The sequence below is a fragment of the Homo sapiens genome, chromosome 12 (assembly GCF_000001405.40).
Source record: "Homo sapiens chromosome 12, GRCh38.p14 Primary Assembly".
Classification (NCBI taxonomy): domain Eukaryota; kingdom Metazoa; phylum Chordata; class Mammalia; order Primates; family Hominidae; genus Homo; species Homo sapiens.
The window spans coordinates 32,578,780-32,598,743 of NC_000012.12; the positions used below are offsets into that span (position 1 = coordinate 32,578,780).

At 40.0% G+C, this 19,964-nt stretch overlaps 1 protein-coding gene across 25 annotated transcripts in view; it reads left to right on the forward strand.

The window, feature by feature from the left end:
- FGD4 (FYVE, RhoGEF and PH domain containing 4) overlaps positions 1-19,964 on the forward strand; it is a 246,493-nt gene that overhangs the window by 179,222 nt on the left and 47,307 nt on the right. For 16 of the 25 annotated variants that reach the window (XR_001748576.2, NM_001370298.3, NM_001384126.1 and 13 more), the window contains 2 exons: positions 3,181-3,688; positions 19,718-19,807. Coding sequence is in view for 21 of the 25 variants with exons in the window: in NM_001370298.3 (NP_001357227.2) it covers positions 3,181-3,688; positions 19,718-19,807 (598 nt within the window). In the remaining 4 variants the exon portion in view is untranslated. The other 9 variants (NR_168884.1, NM_001384131.1, NM_001384132.1 and 6 more) reach the window with 6 other exon arrangements.

Consider the following 19,964-nt stretch of genomic DNA (forward strand, 5'->3'; position numbering starts at 1 on the left):
GAGATTGTGCCACTGCACTCCAGCCTGGGCGACGGAGTGGGACCCTGCCTTAAAAAAAAAAAAACATCGTAGCACTAGTTTGTTAAGATGACAGATTTGGAGCAAGTAGATTTTCTTTAATTTTTACTGTGGTTTCCTTCTTTCTCCTATTCCTCCTTCTTTCTCTCTTTCAGGTTAAGAGAGAGTACTCTTTTTAACCTAGGAACCACTTTAAGATTTTAGAAATAAGAATATGTTTCTACAGACCTGAACATTAGTGGTTTTTTTTTTTTTTTTTTTTTTTTGAGACAGAGTTTTGCTCTTGTTGCCCAGGCTGGAGGGCAATGGCACGATCTCAGCTCACCATGACCTCCGCCTCCCAGGTTCAAGCAATTTTCCTGCCTCAGCCTCCTGAATAGCTGGGATTACAAGGCATGCACCACCACGCCTGGCTAATTTTGTATTTTTAGTAGAGACGGGGTTTCTCCATGTTGAGGCTGGGCTCGAACTCCTGACCTCAGGTGATCTGCCCGCCTTGGCCTCCCAAAGTGCTGGGATTACCGGCGTGAGCTACCGTGCCCGGCCGGAACATTGGTTTTTCCCATGGACACTCCAAGGTCAACTGTTTTCTCCTTATGGTTTGGCATCCACAAAGCAGCAGGAATCTTCCAAGTACTGGTTCAACTACTGCTTTTACTAACTCCTTACCCACGTTATCCTTCCCCGTCTCCTCTCCCTCCCTACTCATACCCTTGATATCACTTACTATGGGACATTTGCAGCTCTCATTCAAAGCCATCCTTTAGATAAGACCTGAACATGCTTAAATTTGTTTCAGAGGATCTGTTGAGGATCTTTCCACCAGGGAATCCAGAGACTGATGTGGGCAGGAGAAGGAGGACAGTTTGATTCAAATCTCTAAAGACTACTTGGGAAATTATCCAGGCCAAAGTTGTCCTCCTCAAGGGGGCAAATCTCAACTGAAGAGTGTGTAACATTTATTTGTATTGCCCACCTCCAATTTTTATATATATGACATTTTCCCCTACTCAATTTATCCTTTCTTTCCTCTGGTGTTGGACTTTACCTGTATCTTTTTTCCTCCCTCATCACTTTCTTGCTGTTTACTTTTATTCCCTGTTTCATTCTCCAGTCCAGATCAGCAGTGATTGGGAAGGGTGGGTTGGGAGCAAAGGTGACACATCTCAGCATTGTCCTTGGGACCAGGCTGCTTGCTGTTTCCTTCCCCACCTCCCTTTATCCCGTTACCTGCACAGGGGAAGATAATCAACCCTAGACTTTCTTCCTTCATTTTGCCTACAGCCTATTCATCTGATGCTCATTCTGTCCTTCTGCTCCAGTACATCATAACTTGGGGTGAAGACCATGGGATTTAGAGTTGGATTCATGGTTTGACCTCTGGCTTTTCTGCTTGTTACATTGTGACATTGGCCACCTTAATTTCTAAGCCTAGATTTCTCTATGGGATCCCTGTCTTTGGAATTATTGTGAGGATGAAACAAGGTAATTATTGTAAGGGGCTTCTTATAGTTTGTGGTTCTTAGTAAGCACTTAATAAATGTTTCTGGCTGTTATTATTGTCACAATCATCATCATTATCATGGTTATTCAAAGTTCATCAAATATTTATTGAGTACTTCCCCTGTGTCAAGCGCCACGCTAAGAGGTAGGAGTAAAGCAGAGAGGAAGTCTGCAACCTCACCGAGTTTTAGTTGCTTTATTTCTTCTCGTTTAGGTCACAGGAATCTTTCAAAGAGTATAGCCCACAGTTTTGTGCTCCATTCCCCACCCCACTCCCAGAATCCTAGATTAAAATCTGTACAAATGGCCGGGCGCGGTGGCTCATGCCTATAATCCCAGCACTTTGGGAGGCCGAGGCGGGCAGATCACGAGGTCAGGAGATCGAGACCATCCTGGCTAACACGGTGAAACCCCGTCTCTACTAAAAATACAAAAAATTAGCCGGGCGTGGTGGCGGGCGCCTGTAGTCCCAGCTACTCGGGAGGCTGAGGCAGGAGAATGGTGTGAACCCGGGAGGCGTAGCTTGCAGTGAGCCAAGATTGCGCCACTGCACTCCAGCCTGGGTGACAGAGTGAGACTCCGTCTCAAAAAAAAAAAAAAAAAATCTGTACAAATATTTCCACAGGAATATTGTTATATGTTGGGAGTAAGTTTCATTCTCCTATTAAGACTACTGTTATGTCAAGCAGTAATAAGGACTTTAAAGAAAAATAAAATCAGATGTGGAGTTAGTGATGGAGAGTGCTGTTATGATAGATGAATCTAGGAAAGCCTCTTTGGAGATGTGATACCTGAACAGAACCCCGAATGATAAGAAGAAATACCAGTGTTTTAGGAGAGATTGTCCTAAGCAGAGAACAGCAGCTGCAAAGACCCCAAGACACATACACTTGGTTATTAAGAATGGGAGCAGCAAGGAGTATGGCAAGAACACAGTGAGTTAAGGAAGAATGAAATCTAATGAGGCCATGCACTTTGGGAACTAGAGTATGTAGAATCTCATAGGCTGTCACTGGGACTTGAGTTTTCCCTTGAGTGTGTGAGGAAGCCCTCAGAGTTTGTGACTGACTTGTAGAGGTTCTAGTGGAGGGGATCAGAGTGGAAACAAAGAGACCAGTTAAAAAGGTATGGCAGCATGAATAAAAAAGTTTTGAGAGTATTCATTATGCCTTCCAAATAAAAAACTCTTTGGTTCATAATTTGTTCATAAATTAAGGACTGGCTACACTGTACTATTTAAAAATGTTAAGAAACATCAATAAGTAAAAATGTTAGGAAGAGATGATAAATACGTAAGTATTATATCTAACTAAGTCTTTACTAACTAGTCACATTATTAAACAGTGCAAGGATCAAGAAAAGTTAAGCGTTGAAAAATAAATAAATAAGTTATAAATAAAATAAACAGCCCAAGGAAATGTTCCAGTCCCCATAGGTAGACTCGGGGTCATCTTCTTTATTTAAATCTTTATTTAAATGTGGATAGCATCCCAAGAGACTTGGGTCTACACTAAGAATATTCAAATCCATGTTTCTGAAACCATCAGAGATAGAAAAAAAAAGTAGCGAATATCCCTTTTCAACTGGAATAAACTTGTCTTAATTCTAGAACTTTTCCATACCAATGTTTTCATGCTTCCTTTGTATTTTATCTTTTAGCTCATTATCAAATTATAGTGATTTGAAGAAAGAGTCTGCTGTGAACCTAAATGCTCCTAGAACCCCAGGAAGGCATGGATTGACAACCACACCTCAACAAAAACTCCTCTCCCAGCACTTGCCACAGAGGCAGGGAAATGATACAGATAAGACTCAGGGTGCACAGACTTGTGTGGCCAACGGTGTAATGGCAGCACAAAACCAGATGGAATGTGAGGAGGAGAAAGCTGCCACTCTTAGCTCAGATACTTCTATTCAAGCTTCTGAACCCTTGCTTGATACGCACATAGTGAATGGAGAAAGAGATGAAACTGCCACAGCTCCTGCATCACCCACAACAGACAGCTGTGATGGAAATGCTTCTGACAGTAGCTACAGGACTCCAGGCATAGGCCCAGTGCTCCCCCTAGAAGAAAGAGGGGCAGAAACAGAAACCAAGGTACAAGAGAGGGAAAATGGGGAAAGCCCTCTGGAACTGGAGCAGCTGGACCAGCACCATGAGATGAAGGTAGAGCATGAGACTAGCTCATGAGCAGGGAAAACCCTGCCTATTCGATTGTTGTCTTAAAACTCTTTATTTATTGCACCCCTGAAATGTATGAATCAGATCACCCACACTGGCAGTTAAACGATTTTCAAGCTCTGGCTGCTGATTAGCATTTCCCCTATGCTCTAAGCAGATATTTCACTTTTTCTTTTCATGTAGTTTCTGTTAATATCTCTGTTGTAATTTCAGGAGTCAGAACAGTGTGGAAACTTTAATATAGGAAATCCACAAATGTATTGTTTTTACATAGAAAGAAAATGTTCCTTGTTGCTCTAGATGTTGGTGCTGTATCCCTAATACTTACGGGCCAAGCAAGAAGAAATTGTATAATCTTTGTTGTTCAGAAGTTTCTAATAGAATAAATAGGCCTGTAAGATGAACTTGCCACTAGTAAATGTTACTTTTAAGGACATGAATATGGAAGTATTAAATTATTCAACAGATTATAACTCTAGGCTTTTAATTTTTTTAAGTTTTCTAATTAATACCCAATTTTATAATAAATGGTGTAGTCTTTGAGTTAGAAGGCCATTTAAAAATCATTTTAGAGCCAGGCATGGTGGCTGATTGCTGTAATCCCAGTACTTTGCGGGGCCAAGGCAGGAAGAATTCCTCAGCCCAGTAATTCAAGACCAGTCTGGGCAACATGGTGAGAGCCCATATCTACAAAAATTTTAAAACTTAGCAGAGCATGGTAGTTTGCACCTGTGGTCTCAGCTACTCGGGAGGCTGAGGTGGGAGAATTTCTTGAGCCCAGGAGGTCAAGGCTGTAATGAGCCATGATTGTGCCACTGCACGCCAGCCAGGGTGACAGAGCGAAACCCTGTCTCAAAAAACAAGGAAAAAAAAATCTTAGTTTAGCAATTCATTTATAGAAGAAGAAATAGTCCCAGAAAGCTTATGATTTTTTTTCAAGGTCACGCTGTTTTTTGAATAATAGCTCACAACCCTCATGCTGTGACTCCCAGGCTAGTGTTGTGTCCCTGAAGCAACACATCACAAACTTAAATGGCTAAATGCAAGAAATGTCAATAAATGAAGCAGCCATGGGTAATAAGCTGGTGGGATTGTTGAGAACTGGACATTTCTGTCCTTTCTAAAGAAGAAAGTGATTTGATGAACTGCCTGGATGGGGTTTCTGCTCATATGCACAATGTCAGCTAAGAAAGAGCTGATTTGCTGGTGAAACATATACTGACTCTGAAGCAGACAAAGTTTAAAGAAAAAAGTGGGTGGGAGAAAGTGAGTCATACTTGGTAACATTATCTGAAACAGTAAAGAAACAGGACATTGCAAAGTGAATCCCTATGCCTCAATACAATGATAGATTTTTAGTTTATTTGTTCGTGAACCATGATGGAAGGAAGAGAAGGTTATAGAACCAAGAAAATCTTTTGCCACTGTTGGGATGATGCCTCCAACAAGTATATATAAAATAGTAAGAGCTGTTCTTACAAAGAAAAATATTCTAATTGGTGATGATGCCTATGGTTGTTGGATGGTACTTTTTCTTCCCTTCACATATTATTATGGATGCATTTTCTTAGATGAATCTTACCTCTTTGGGAGAGATTTTATAGAATTTTCCTATTAAACTAGTGAAACATAGAATAGTACTACTGGCCTTTCTCCTGAATGGGCCTTTACACAGTGGATGGCACATGCTGTATGTGGGAAGAAAAAGCAAATTTTCTCTGCAGAGCGGTTGATGCGAACACCACATCTCTCCTGTTAAAATGGAATGTTAGGATTTCATAAGTGTGCTGCGGCAGTGTGTTCACCTTTGCTGCACTGATGTTTGTTATGTTGCCTTTCCTTGTTCCTAAATGCAAACATACATCTCAGTAGTGTTAAGATGGTAAATCTTATTAGGTATATTTTACCACAATTAAGAAAAAGAAATTAATAAAAATGTCAATGGTAATATAGTGGACCACACAATTAGAACAAAGAAATCTCAATTCTACTTCTGGCTTGTCTATTAACTAGCAGTATGAGCTTGAACAAGTCAATAATTCTTTGTGTGTTTAGTGAAAGCATCTAAACTGTATATAATCTTAAGGCCCTATCTTCATGTTGTAACCCCCCCCTCCCAAAAAAAAAGAAAAATCTTAAGGCCCATTTCAGTGATTATATATTAATTCTGTTATGCTGTGATATAGGTATATTCCCTTGTTAGCATAGCACACCAGATTATCAGCTGCTGCTTAAGCTGTCCAATGTGTTGAACTTCTAAGATATAATGGAATATTTTTAATTTCAATATGCAGACAACTGAAAAACTTTAATCTTCCTGGAAGTGGAAATAGATACTTACTTCAGAATAGTCTTAAATGTGTTTCATTTAAGCTGTGTTAGATTTGATGGGCATTTCCCAAATGCCCATAGGAGTGGGAAAATGAAGGGATAGGGAATGAAAGAAAGGAGAGCAGCCGGGTGCGGTGGCTCACACCTGTGTAATCCCAGCACTTTGGAAGGCCGAGGTGGGTGGATTGCTTGAGTCCAGGAGTTGGAGACCAACCTGAGCAACGTGGCAAAACCCCATCTCTACTAAAAATACAAAAAATTAGCTGGTGTGGTGTCATGCACCACCAGCTACTCAGGAGGCTGAGGTGGGAAGATCGCTTGAGCCTGGGAGGCAGAGGTTGCAGTGAGCTGAGATCCCACCACAGCGCTCCAGGCTAGGTGACAGAGTGAGACCCTGTCTCAAAAATTTTATATATATATATATATATATATATATATATATATGTATATCTTAAAGGCAACTTTTCTTTATTCACTTAGAACTGAACGGTGAACTCAGAAAATTCTTTTTTGTGGCTACTCAGTTTACTAGGTTCATAATATAAGAAAGAAAAATGTGAAAAAAATTGAACTGTTCAATTAAAAAATTCAGTGTGCCAGTCTCACTCTCCTGGGCACCAGCAACATAGAAATGGACTAGACAAGCCCTATCAACAAAGCCTCAGTCTGCTGAGGGGTGAGAGACATACACAAATTGACATAATATGATACAGTAAGTGCTTTGGAAATACAGATGACTGGGCCAGGTGCAGTGGCTCACACTTGCTATCCCAGCACTTTGGGAGGCTACGGCAGAGGATCTCTCGAGTCCAGGAGTTTGAGACCAACCTGGGCAACGGGCAAAACCCCATCTCTACAAAAAATTTAAAAGTTCGCTGGGTGCGGTGGCACTTGCCTGTAGTCCCAGCTACTCGGGAGGCTTAGGTGGGAGGATTGCTTGAACCCAGAAGGTCGAGGCAGCAGTGAGCTATGATCCTGCTACTTCACTCTCACCTGGGCCACAGAGCTGAGACCTTGTCTCAAAAAAAAAAAAAAAAAAAAAAAAAAGGGAAATGCAGATGAAGGAGCAGTTGTGCCCCAGGAGTACTAGTTGAGGGCCAGGCTGCTGAGAAGCAGTTGAAGTAGCCTTGAAGCAAGGATGGGAGATTGCTGGGTGAGATCAAAGATACGCTGGGATGGGGGTGAGTGAAAGTGTGAGCAATGAGTAGAGGCAAGATTGTAGATGCTGCATTTGGAGGAATATTTCTGACTGCATAATCAGAGGTCAGAATGGCTAGAGAAATTAATACAGAGGTACAAGGCTAGATTTAGAAGAGTAAGCTAAGAACAGACTGCAATGGGCTTTTGAATGCCTGTTAAGAATATACATATTTTTTTCCTGAAAACATTAGAGACTTTTAAAAGTTTGGAAGTTTAAAAAGTTTAAAAATCTTAAAAGGTTTTTAAAACCTTTTAAGTTGCTAAAAGTTTACAATTTTCATTGAAAAAGAAGAAAATTGGCAAAGCACAGAAAATACACACAAAAACCACACCCATAATTCTACCAGTGAGAATTGCTTAGATATTTGATATTCTAGCTTGTTTTTCTGAGCTGTTTGAAAAAACATACTTGATCGCATAATGTATGGTCACTCTGTATCCTGTTTTGTTGGGTTATACATAGGTATTTCCCCCATATGAATTCAAACTTTCCATAAGCCTAATATTATCTGGCCTCAGAAACAATTAAAGCATGGAAGTGACATGATGACACATGTGTGGGTTTTTGAAAAATGAGTCAGATGAAAGGGAAAACAGATGGAGCAGGGCACGTGGTTAGGAAGCAACTGTACTAGTCCAGGTGTGAGATGAAGGGGGCCTGGATGAAGCAGAGGGTGAGAGACAAGGAAGATTCTGAGGACCTTGTGGCTAGATGTGGGGGTTAAGTCAGGTTCAACTCCTAGGCTGGATGAATTGGCAGATGGCACATGAACTACAAGAGAATGGAAGGCAGAACCTATTTTGTGGGCAAAAAATAAATTACATTTTGCAATACTGAATTGAGGGGCTTCTTGGAAGTCCAGGTGTAGATGTCTTACAAAAATAGAATATTCTGGGCTGGGTGCAGTGGCTCACCCCTGTAATCCCAGCACTTTGGGAGGCCAAGGTAGGGGGATCACCTGAGGTCAGGAGTTCGAGACCAGCCTGGCCAGTATGGTGAAACCCCATCTCTACTAAAAATACAAAAATTAGCTGGGCGCAGTAGCAAGCACCTGTAGTCCCAGCTACTAGCAGGCTGAGGCAGGCGAATTGCTTGAATTCTGGATGTGGAGGTTGCAGTGAGCCTAGGTCGCACCATTGCACTCCAGCCTGGATGACAGGGTGAGACTCTCTCAAAAAAAAAAAAAAAAAAAAAAAAATTCTGGAAGCATTACGATTTATTGGTTTAGGCATGAAGGCTTTGGAATGAAAATACCTGAGTTCAAATCCCAGCCCCGTCACTTACTAGCTAGGTGACCACTGACACATCACTTTTTTTGTAATTAAAAAATTTTAATGGCTATTGCTTATTTTTTATTCTGTATTTATTTATTTATTTATTTATTTTGAGACAGGGTCTCGGTCTGTTGCCCAGGCTGCCAGGCTGGAGTGCGGTGACGCTATCTCGGCTCACTACAACCTCCACGTCCTAGGTTCAAGCAATTCTCCTGCCTCAGCCTCCTGAGTACCTGGGACTACAGGCATGCACCATCACGCCTGGCTAATTTTTGTATTTTTTGTAGAGATAGGTTTTCACCATGTTGCCCAGGCTGGTCTTGAACTCCTGAGCTCAAGTGATCCACCCGCCTCAGCCTCCCAAAGTGCTGACAGGTGTGAGCCACTGTGCCTGGCCAGACACATCACTTTAACAAACTCTCCAGGCCATGGCTTCCTGACATGTTGAAATCATTGAGATGACAGGAAGGAAAGTAATGGTGTGGGTTTGAGAGAAGGAAGTAGAGTTGCTAATTAGGTTAGTTTTGTACTCTTATACTAAGTTTATGGTTCCTGCAAAACATCCATTTGGAGATATTAATTAAGCAAGTGGAACTGTGGATCCAGAGCCCAGGAAAGAGGGTAAGAATGTTAAGAGGATGGTGCATGAGGGTGTGATTAACATTGCCAAAGCAGAATGTGTAGGAACAGGAAATGGGCCAAGAGTTGAGCCATGAAGCACAAACAATAGAAAAGGATGTTTAATAAATTGTCCAAGAGGAGAAAGAAGAGAGAACAGTGTTTTGGAACCACAGGGATGGAGGGGAATGGGGTAGGGGTGCAGGCATATTGGAAAGCTTTAAGGAAAAAAGCATGGTCAGCATTTAGAATATGGAACTAGGAGTTAACTTGGAGACCTAGCCTTTAGTAGGCCTTGATAGCTAACTAGCTGTATACTAGTATATAACTTGGTGAACTTGAGTAATTGAACAAAGTTGAGCAAATGTATATTGCACATAGGCTATGGGCAAGGCACCGCAGTAAATACAAAGAAGAAACTTACAGTTGAGATGGAGAGTTAAGACAACAAATGACCATTACTCAAGATATCCTGAAGTAAAGGGAAAAGGCCTCACTGATAAAGCTAAGGTTTACATCATGGCTATTAGTGTGAATTCACTGTTGTTAGCAGAAACGGAGAAGTCATGGAGAATCTAGGACGGACTGAGGGACCACAGCACGGAGGTAGCTTGCAGGCTTGGTGATTGAAGTGTCGATTTGGGCAGTCCTCTGCCAAGACCAGCAAGAAGTCCTCCAGGTGCAAGACTTGGAGCTTGGAGAAGGTGCTGTTGTGGCAACAGTGACCATGATTCTGAGAGCATCGGGCAAAGACTATAGAGCCAATCAGAAGTCTTCCCAGCATTGCTGAGTGGCCTGGAATTCAAGAAAGAGAAAAAGCAAACTTGGAGTGGGAATTAGCCAGGATCAGCAAGTCAGCAGTGCCAAGAGAACAAAGGATGGGGTTTAACAGAACGTTGAGTTGAACCAGGAGAATTGGGAAAGATCAGGTGCTTAGAGGTCACAGCGTGTAGAAAGACCCAGTTTAGTTGAGTGTGAGAGAAATGGAAAGCTAAAATCTTGCTTTATATGGGGTTAAAAACAAATTAAAAAGCCAGATACCTAACCTAGTGGTCAGGAACACAGACTCAAGAGCCAGGTCCTCTAGATTTGAATCCCACTCAGCTACTTACTAGCTCTGTGACCTTGAGCAGATTACTTCAACCTCCCTGTGCCTCAGTTTCCTCATCTGTAAAATGGAGATAACATATCTACCTTGTAACATTATGAGGTATAGATCATGTACTAGTTGTAAAGTACTTTAGAACAGTGCCTTGGCATATAAAAGCTATGTGTTTATTAATTAAACATCCTGTTTCCTCACTTGTGAATCAAGATCAATAGACTCAAAGCCTAATATGTCATTTAATAGATCCAAATTTCAACACATTCTGCCAGGTTAATACCAGCACCTCTCTTTCGGTTCTCCCACTGTAGGATACACAGAGAAGTTTGCATACCACCTCTTTTTTAACTTAGGGTTCCTGTATTTTGTTTCTCCTGCCTGAGGACTGTTGGTTATTACCACATGATGTACTCTCATTAGTGTATACAAGGTTCTGACTTAACAGAATTAACATAAAGCGTTTATAAATGACTGAGATACTTTGATGACTAAGTCTTTAGACAGGTTAATTCAGTTATTTAATGTGTATACATATTCAGTTTTTCTTGGTGCCTGTTCTTTAATTTCTATAAAACTCAAAGGACTCTTTAGTGTAACTTACACTACATAGATTATAAGAAGACCAAAGTTGTTCTCTCTTCACCACCACTTACTTCCTGTCTGATCTTGTGCAAGTAACCAAACTTTTTTTCTTTGTGCAACCTCTGTTTCCCCCTCCTCCCCATGTCACGAAAGAACGTAATTGAAACCTTCAGATTAAAAGCTCTCACTTTTAACTCTCCTTGAACCCAGGAGGCAGAGGTTGCAGTGAGCTGAGATTGTGCCATTAACTCTCACTCATTGTTCTCCCCTCTTATTTCAAGTTTTGAATTGGATAGTGTGGAAGACCTAAGTTTGGGAAAATATTGGTGGTAAGTCACAAGTAGGCCTGGACTACTTCTTGAAGCTTCTTGAAGGATCATGCCGAGCTGACAGCCTGTTGATGCTTATGACACTATATTATAAAGCAAGGAATGCCGGGCGCGGTGGCTTATGCCTGAAATCCCAGCACTTTGGGAGGCCGAGACAGGTGGATCACCTGAGGTCAGGAGTTCTAGACCAGCCTGGCCAACATGGTGAAACCTCGTCTCTACTAAAAATACAAAAATTAGCTGGGTATGGTGGCAGGCGCCTATAATCCCAGCTACTCAGTGGGTGCTGAGGCAGGAGAATCACTTGAACCCGAGAGGCAGAGTTTGCAGTGAGCCGAGATCGCGCCATCGCACTCCAGCCTGGGGGACAAGAGTGAGACTTCATCTAAAAAAAAAAAAAAAAAAAAAGCAAGGAATGATATATGCATATCATAAGTGGGTGTTCTCTCTCTCTCTCTCTTTTTAATAATGTGAGCCTAGTGATAAATTCCCTACTGTTAACAAATAGTTCTTGAGACCTCATGACCCTTTTGATGGCATTTATGACATGATCTTATTTGACCATGAAACCTGTGTTTTATTCCTCTACCTCCTGGTTTTCTTGTTCCCCAAATCCAGAGGGATTTCTCCTCATGCAAAAGGCTGTAGCAGAGCACAAGTTGGTTTTCACAGACCCGGGTTTGAATCCTGGCTCATTCGCTTACTAGCTGTATGACTTTGGGCAAGTTACTTAACCTCATGATGGCACAGCTTCCTCATCTATAAAATGAGAGTGATAATACTCCTGCTTCACAGATGGATTAGGATTACAAGAGATAACTCATGTGCAGTACATAGAATAGTGCACGTAGTAAGTATTCATTAAATAGTGGTGGTTGTCACCATCTCTCACTTGTGATAGCTTCCTTGATTTCCCAGCTCCTTAGTTTCATGATAAAGAATCTGCAGAACTTTGGAATATCACAGAACAAAGATGTCTAATACAAGTAATAGGTTAGACCAATTATGTGACATTCAAATGTCCTTGTGATCTAATTTTAATTTAACAGCCTGCAGCCCCAATGAAGGCTTCAGTTTGTGACAAGACATATAAAATGACATATCAAAGTGTTGATGCATCTGATAAATTGTGGTACAAAATCAAATATTCATTCCCTAAGTTGACTCAACTTCTTTACCAGAGAATGGGCTTTAGGGACCACAGAGATGTATGTACCTGTACAAAGGGTACCCACTCTCTTTCCATAGAAGAATATAATTATCTAACTGACAGCAGATTTGAATAGAAACTTCCCATGATTAAGAAATATTCATTCATGTCCTATAAAAACCTGATAATTTACTTAGGTCATTTACGTACATTTTGTTTTGACTATAACCTCTAATAAGTAGATAGGAAAAGCTGCAAAACCTTTTAGTAGCTTTTGGTATATGTTTTTAGGAAAATTCTTCCTACCTAAAATGAAATCACATATGAGAACATGTGCTGAAGAGTCATAAAGAATAATATTGTCTGATTCATTTTAAAATAATTGAAGATTTTGCATTTGAAGCATCTCTCAGGAAATCATAATTGTTTTTAGCATTTACAACATTCTTCCCAGAAGATCTGCTCCCCGACTTGGTAGCTTCGAGGCACATGGCAGGGTGGATGGCACCAAGATTTTGAAGAATGAATCGCTGATGCCACCCAAGTGTTTCTGCCTATCCAGTTAATGAACTCTGTGAGCTGCAGTGGGGGCCCTTTGTTCTGCCTCCAGCCATATGGGAGAGTCATGCCAAAAGGTCTGAACAGAGCTGCAGGATCTGGTGACACCTGAAAATGAGGAGGCAGGACTGACACTGCAGTACATTCATGAAGCAGTGGGCTACAGTGACTAACAACCAGGCCGAACCTAAGCCCAGAGAGAAAGGAGCAGATCTCTCCCAAAGGGTACTGGAGGTGTGAAGGCAGACAGTAACAGCCTAGGAAGTGCATTACACAGAAAGAGGAAAGTTAATTGCATACTCTGTTACTGTAAGAGGAGTGTAACTTTTGGTGCTGATAGCTTAGATATCCTCTTGTGTATTTTTATTTTGAGGCAATACTCTGGGAATCACCTTTCAATTTATGAGTATAGCATTGTGTATGTATTTGTAAGGTAAAAATTAATATATTTATTTATTTATTTATTTTTTGAGACAGAGTCTCACTCTTTCGCCCAGGCTGCGGTGCAATGGTGTGATCTCGGCTCACTGTAGCCTCCGCTTCCTGGGTTCAAGCGATTCTCCTGCTTCAGCCTCCTGAGTAGCTGGGACTACAGGCGTGCGCCACCATTCCCAGCTAATTTTTGTATTTTCAGTAGAGATGGGATTTTAAAAGTATCTTACTTTTGATATCTCTATTTAAAATAAAGGGATATCAAAAGTAAGATTCTTTTAAAATCCCATTTTTGAAAAACTATAAATTATATTTTAATCATAAATTATGTTGAAAAGTCAAGCTTTTTTTCTTAGACTTCAGTAGAAGAAAATGGGATTATATATTAAATTAATAGTGCATGACTATTACTGTTTCCCAAAGGACTGCAAGAATAAATGGCTTCATGGTAAAGCGCTAAGCACAAGTAGTGGTTATGTAACTTTGAAGTGCCCAATGTTAAGAAACAGTATTTACCTATTTAGCTTTCCTGTTTAAAAAAAATATCAGGCTATAGCCCCAATGTACCAGCAATTTTAAGACTACTTTATTATTTATATGTAATTCTAATATAGTAATAAAGCCCCATGCATGCAAATAAATCATCTATTTCTCCTTAAATATCCTTATAGATGAGTTTCCTTAAATAAGTTTTTAAAGTTGGAAGCCACCATATTATTACTTCAAAATGACTGTATTTTGTATACCTAATAATTACTAAAATGCTGAAAAGTATCTCTTTAATAGAATTTATGTTGGAAAAAAATAATATATAAATTAAAGTATGTAGTAGTACCACTTTTCATTTCCAGGTGGATTTTGTAAGCAGATAGTTGGTGATTTGTCAGTCTGTCTATTTACAGGCACATATCACAGTCTTGGGTTTTGTTGAAAGAAAGATGATAGTGAGAGCCAAGGTATATCATGAATAGTAACTTAAAATCATGTACTTGCCTATATGATACAGTTACTTTCTAACTCTGTGACCTTGGGTAAGTAACCTGGCCTCTTTGAGCCTCAGGATTTTGTTTTGTTGTATGTGTGCTGTCTGTAAAATAGAAATAATAATGGTATTTATTGTTGTAAGGATTCATCAGTTTATGTAAAATAATTATAACAGTGTCTGGCATACAATAATCAGTGAATAAGTGTTAGTTTTTGTTATTATGGTGGTATTATTATTGCTGTTTTAATTGACCTAAAGCAAGGCACAATTAGTCCGTGATTTACTCATCTCCATCCCAAAATCCCTAGTAACTTTTCTGCAAACCTATATGTAAGTGAGTGATTAAACCGTATGTTGTCAGCAAACTTACTTTTTGCTTATCCTTGTGTTGGCTTTGTCAGGGTTAGGGACCTAACATGTAGAAGGTGGTCTGTGTGGAGAGAGCATAGCTTTTGCTAATAACTGCTGGCATCCCCCTTGGATTTTGCAAAATCTGACCAGGATATCCACAATTGCCAAGTTCAGCTAAAGCATGCTTTGCAGTCAGCAAAGATTATTCTGATAAGCTTCCTATTTAAGATCCTGTAGGATTGTGGAGGACCTCAGGGGTGACTTCATTGCATAGCAGTAATACACAGTTATATCTGTTAGTTAACATACTCCCTGATTCATGAAAGATGTATTATTTTATCATGGCACAAGTTCTGCCAGGTTGCTGTCTTTAAAGATATTGTCAGAATTAGAATCAGAACATAGGATATGAGTGAGTCAAAACGATACATCAGCACTATCAGAATAAAACCAAGGTCTTGAAAAGAATAGGCTACTGCTACTAATAACAACATGCATGTATTTCAAATGAATTTTGCTGAATGACAGAAACAAGACTAAGAAGGCACATGCATTTACATGACATTATAGAAAGGAAAGATCACTAGGTACCAGGATCTGGTGGTAGGAGCATAGAGGGGGTTGATTACAAAGGGGCACAAAAATAGTTGAGGCATGATGAAATATTCCATATCTTGATTATGGTAGTGGTTATATCAGAGGTCCTCAGCCCGTAGGCCACGGACTGGTACCAGCTGGTCTGTGGCCTGTTAGGGATGTGGCCTTTTGAGTGGTGGGGCAGGCGAGCAAGTAAGTGAAGCTTCATCTGTATTTACAGGCTTGCTCCCCATCACTCACGTTACCATCTGAGCTCCACCTCCTGTCAGATCAGCAGCAGCATTAGATTCTCATAGGAACTTGAACCCTATTGTGAACTGCACATGCGAGGGATCTAAGTTGCATGCTCCTTATGAGAATCTAATGACCGATGATCTGTCGCTGTCTCCCATCACTCCCAGATGGGACTGTCTAGTTGCAGGAAAACAAGATCAGGTCTCCCACTGATTCAACATTATGGTGAGTTGTATAATTACTTCCTTACATATTACAATGTAATAATAATAGAAATAAAGTACACAATAAATGTAATGTGCTTAAATCATCCTGAAACCATCCCTCTCTCCCCACCCCAACCCAGTCAATGGAAAAACTGTCTTCCACAGAACCGGTCCCTGGTGCCAAAAAGGTTGGGGACCTCTGGGTTACATTATCACATGCATTTGTCAAAACTCCTGGAACTGTACACCAAAAAGGGTAAATTTTACTGTTTATAAATTATGCCTCAACCATTCTGGCTTAGAAAAGCAAAATAGGCCTGGCATATTGGCTCATGCCTGTAATCCCAGCACTTTGGGAGGCCAAAGCAGGCGGAACACAAGGTCAGGAGTTCGAGACCAGCCTGGCCAGCATGGTGAAACCCCGTCTCTACTAAAACTACAAAAAATTAGCTGGGCATGGTGGCACGCACGTGTAGTGTCAGCTGCTTGGGGGGCTGAGGCAGGAGAATTGCTTGAACCCGGTAGGCAGAGGTTGCAGTGAGCCAAGATCACGCCACTGCACTTCAGCCTGGGTGACAGAGCGAGACTCCGTCTAAAAAAAAAAAAAAAAACAACACAGCAAAATAAAACAAAGGGCTTACAATGTTGATGCAGGGGAATATTTCCTGTGAATATGAAGGACAGCATATTCCTGTATCTTCCTCTGAAATATTGATAGGTGTCTTATGTAATTACTATGCATTTATGTTTACTTATTACAGGATGGAAAGTCACATTTTTATCCCACAATGTATTTAAGTTTTATCTCTTTTTCCTTATAAGTAGTAATTGCTTAAAAATTACTTAGGTTTTTAAATTTCATGGAGTATCCTGCATATGTATCATATATCAACCAGGATGCTTCTGGCCACAAGTAACACTAAGCCCGGCCTAAACAATAATGAAGTTTATTGGCTTCATTCCTGTGGTAATGGAATCGTTGCTCATAGCACTTAAGCCTCCATATACTCTCATTCTCTGGGAGCCTGAAATGTCTTCCCATTGGGCTCTGCCTTAAGAGTAGGAAGCTTCCTATTGCCAAAGCCTTCAGTATATATTTCCTCATATCTCATTGTCTCCAGAACCAATCACTATGAACTTGGATTCTTACACTATTCAGGGCCCCACCTTTTGATCTGGAAATAAGGTCTGTTTCCCTAGAGGAACTGACTGTATAGTAGTAATATATACACTAACCCAATCTGGATACTATTAAGAAATGAGGGGTGGGAAATATGCCAGGCTGGCAACCAACAATGCCAGTACTTTATCCCGAATTGTATTAAGTTAAATCCAAACTTTGACTAATTGTGGAATTAGATGACTGCATAGTTCTTATTTCCATATTTCTGAGACCACAAATTATTTAAACACTATTATATTGCTATACCTGAGGACTTCACCTAAAAATACCTCATTTCAATGCCACTGTAAGAAACAACACATTAACTTTACATATTGAAAGGATCTTGTGTGTAAAGTGTAAAGCATGAAGTAGATCTCATGTGGTGAACATAGTGAAGTATTCATAGAACTTAATAGCATTTATACGCAGTTTAAAATATAGTATTTATACCTAAGTTAGACACTGGCTTAAAATATACTTTGGTCTACTTTGCTTTTAGAGTTTTGCCTATACTTTATAATCTGCTACAGAGAAAGGGAGGGTATTTCAGCAAAGTACTAGATAGAAAGTTTTCAATACAAAGATTTGCATATGAAAGATAAAATGCCTTCTAATAGGACCAAGCCCAAGGGCTTTGAATAGTTGAAGAAGGCCCCATGGACAAGAATTGGAAATGCAGCAGTCAAAAGAAAAGCATCTTAGACACCTAGAGAGCTACAATAGCAAGAGCATATGCCAGGCAGAGAGGATGGAAAGAAGAAAGGTTTAGAGATAACCAGGGACACGTTTGGATAATAATCAAACATGCATTTGAGTGATGTGTTTGGAGGGAATGGTGCCTGTGATGATAAAAGTTTGAGGAAGTGAGTAGAGGTTTGAATAACCCTGAATGTACATAGTATGGATTTTGTCCTGTCAGTGAGAGGAAGACTACTGAAGGCTTTTCTTTCTATGAAAGTAGAATTATGTATGCAATGGAAAGTTTTTTTTTTTTTAAGTTTAGAATTTTCTTTTCTCTTTAAGAGAAATAGTCCTGGAGAAGTACATGGAAGGGGCTGGGCGCATTGGCTCATGCCTGTAATCCCAGCACTTTGCGGGGCTGAGGCGGGCGGATCACCTGAGGTTGGGAGTTCAAGACCAGCCTGACCAACATGGAGAAACCTCGTCTCTGCTAAAAATACAAAATTAGCCGGCCGTCGTGGTGCATGCCTGTAATCTCAGCTACTCGGGAGACTGAGGCAGGAGAATCACTTGAACCCGGGAGGCAGAGGTTGCGGTGAGCCGAGATCATGCCATTGCACTCCAGCCTGGGCAACAAGAGCAAAACTCTGTCTTAAAAAAAAAAAAAACAAAAAGAGAAGTACATGGAAGGATATAACTTTGTTATATATTTTTCTCAGAGCAGAAATCTTCGCATATACATTAGAAAGATTTCCACAAAACAACTGACAAAATACAAAAATAAAAACATTCAGAGACAATGGCTTAATTATTTGGAAATACTGTTTCTTTTTAGTATTTATAAGGATTAATTCATTCTTGACAATGCTTTATAAATGTGGAACAAAGGAAAGTTTTAGAAAGATCCCTCATACAGCAATACAGAAGGTAAATTCACGCCACAAAATATTGTAATCAGATCATTTGATAGCTATTGATTGGTCTGGGCTTGAGAAGAGATGAGCGAAACAGGGTGGCAGTGTTGAGAGCTTAAAGGATGAATGCTAAAGACATAGTATCATAAGTAGGACTTGGTAGCAGTCAGGATGCCATGGTAGAGAAATAAGTTTAATTCAAGATTCCAAAGCCAGATAATTGTACCATTACCAGGAGGAGAAAATTAGGAGTTAATAGTAGGGTAGAGGTTTCTCAGAAAAGATGAATTTGGTCTTGTGTTGTCAGCATGTCAAAGTAGTAATAAATGTCCAGCAATAGTTAGGTATGTGATTGCTACTCATTCATTCATTTGTTCGGCAATATTGTATTGAATACCAGTGTTTTTATTGAAGCATTGTAGTAGGCACAGGAGATACAGCAGCTAACAAGGAAAAAATGTTTCTGTCATCATGAAACTGGCAGAGTTATATAAGTATATTTAAGGCTTAAATAAATACATACTGAAGAAATAAAGTGGAATTAATACAAAATAAAATGGGCAGACAGAGGTGAGGGGGAGCGTAAATGAAACAAGATTAACAATGAGTTGATACTTGTTGAATCTCATTGATGGGCATGTGGGGGTTCACTTTACTGTTTTCTGTATTATTTGATTGAAGTTTTTCTTTCTGTTTTTTTGAGATAGGGTCTTGCTCTGTCACCCAGGCTAGAGTGCAGTGGCACAGTCATGGCTTACACAGCCTCAACCTCCTCCCATCTCTGCCTCCCAAGTAGCTGGGACTACAGATGTGCGTCACCACGCCTGTGCTCAAGTGATCCTCCCTCCTCTACCTCCCAATATGTTGGAATGACAGGCATGAGCCACTGCGGCTGGCCTAATAAAATATTTTTTAAAAATAAAAAATTAATAAATGTATAGAACTGATAATTAGACAAGATGTCTGAGTGATAACATTTCCAAAGAGTAGCCTGAGAAAGATGGAAAAATGAAGAAAGATAATGCTAGGAACTGAAAAAGATAGATTTCCAGGAAAAAGGTAGATATGATAGTGGTAACTGCTGCAGAGGTCAAAGGAGAAACTATAGTTTAAATCCAGCTGCTTGCTAATTTCTAATTTTGTTCATTTCTGGTTTGACATCTCTTGATGGCTGAAAGAACCGAGTAACTGAAAAGCTTGAGAAAACTGTTTTGATCAAATCATTTGAAGAAGCGTTTTTTACTTTAGAAATATTGTCCAAGGTATCTTTCCTAATGTGTGAATATCTTTCCAATTTTTAGGAGACTAATGAGCAAAAACTTCACAAAATAGCCAATGAACTTTTGCTTACTGAAAGAGCTTATGTCAACCGACTTGACCTCTTAGATCAGGTAAGATTTTCTTTCTCAGAATTATTTTATATTTTGGCATTATACATCATTTTAACCTAGTAATTAGAGTATTTTAGAAACTGCATGAAGGAAGGGCCTGTTTTTGGCTAGTGAAAGGTACTTGCTCAAGGAAATCTCCAGCACTTTGAGCTTTGTG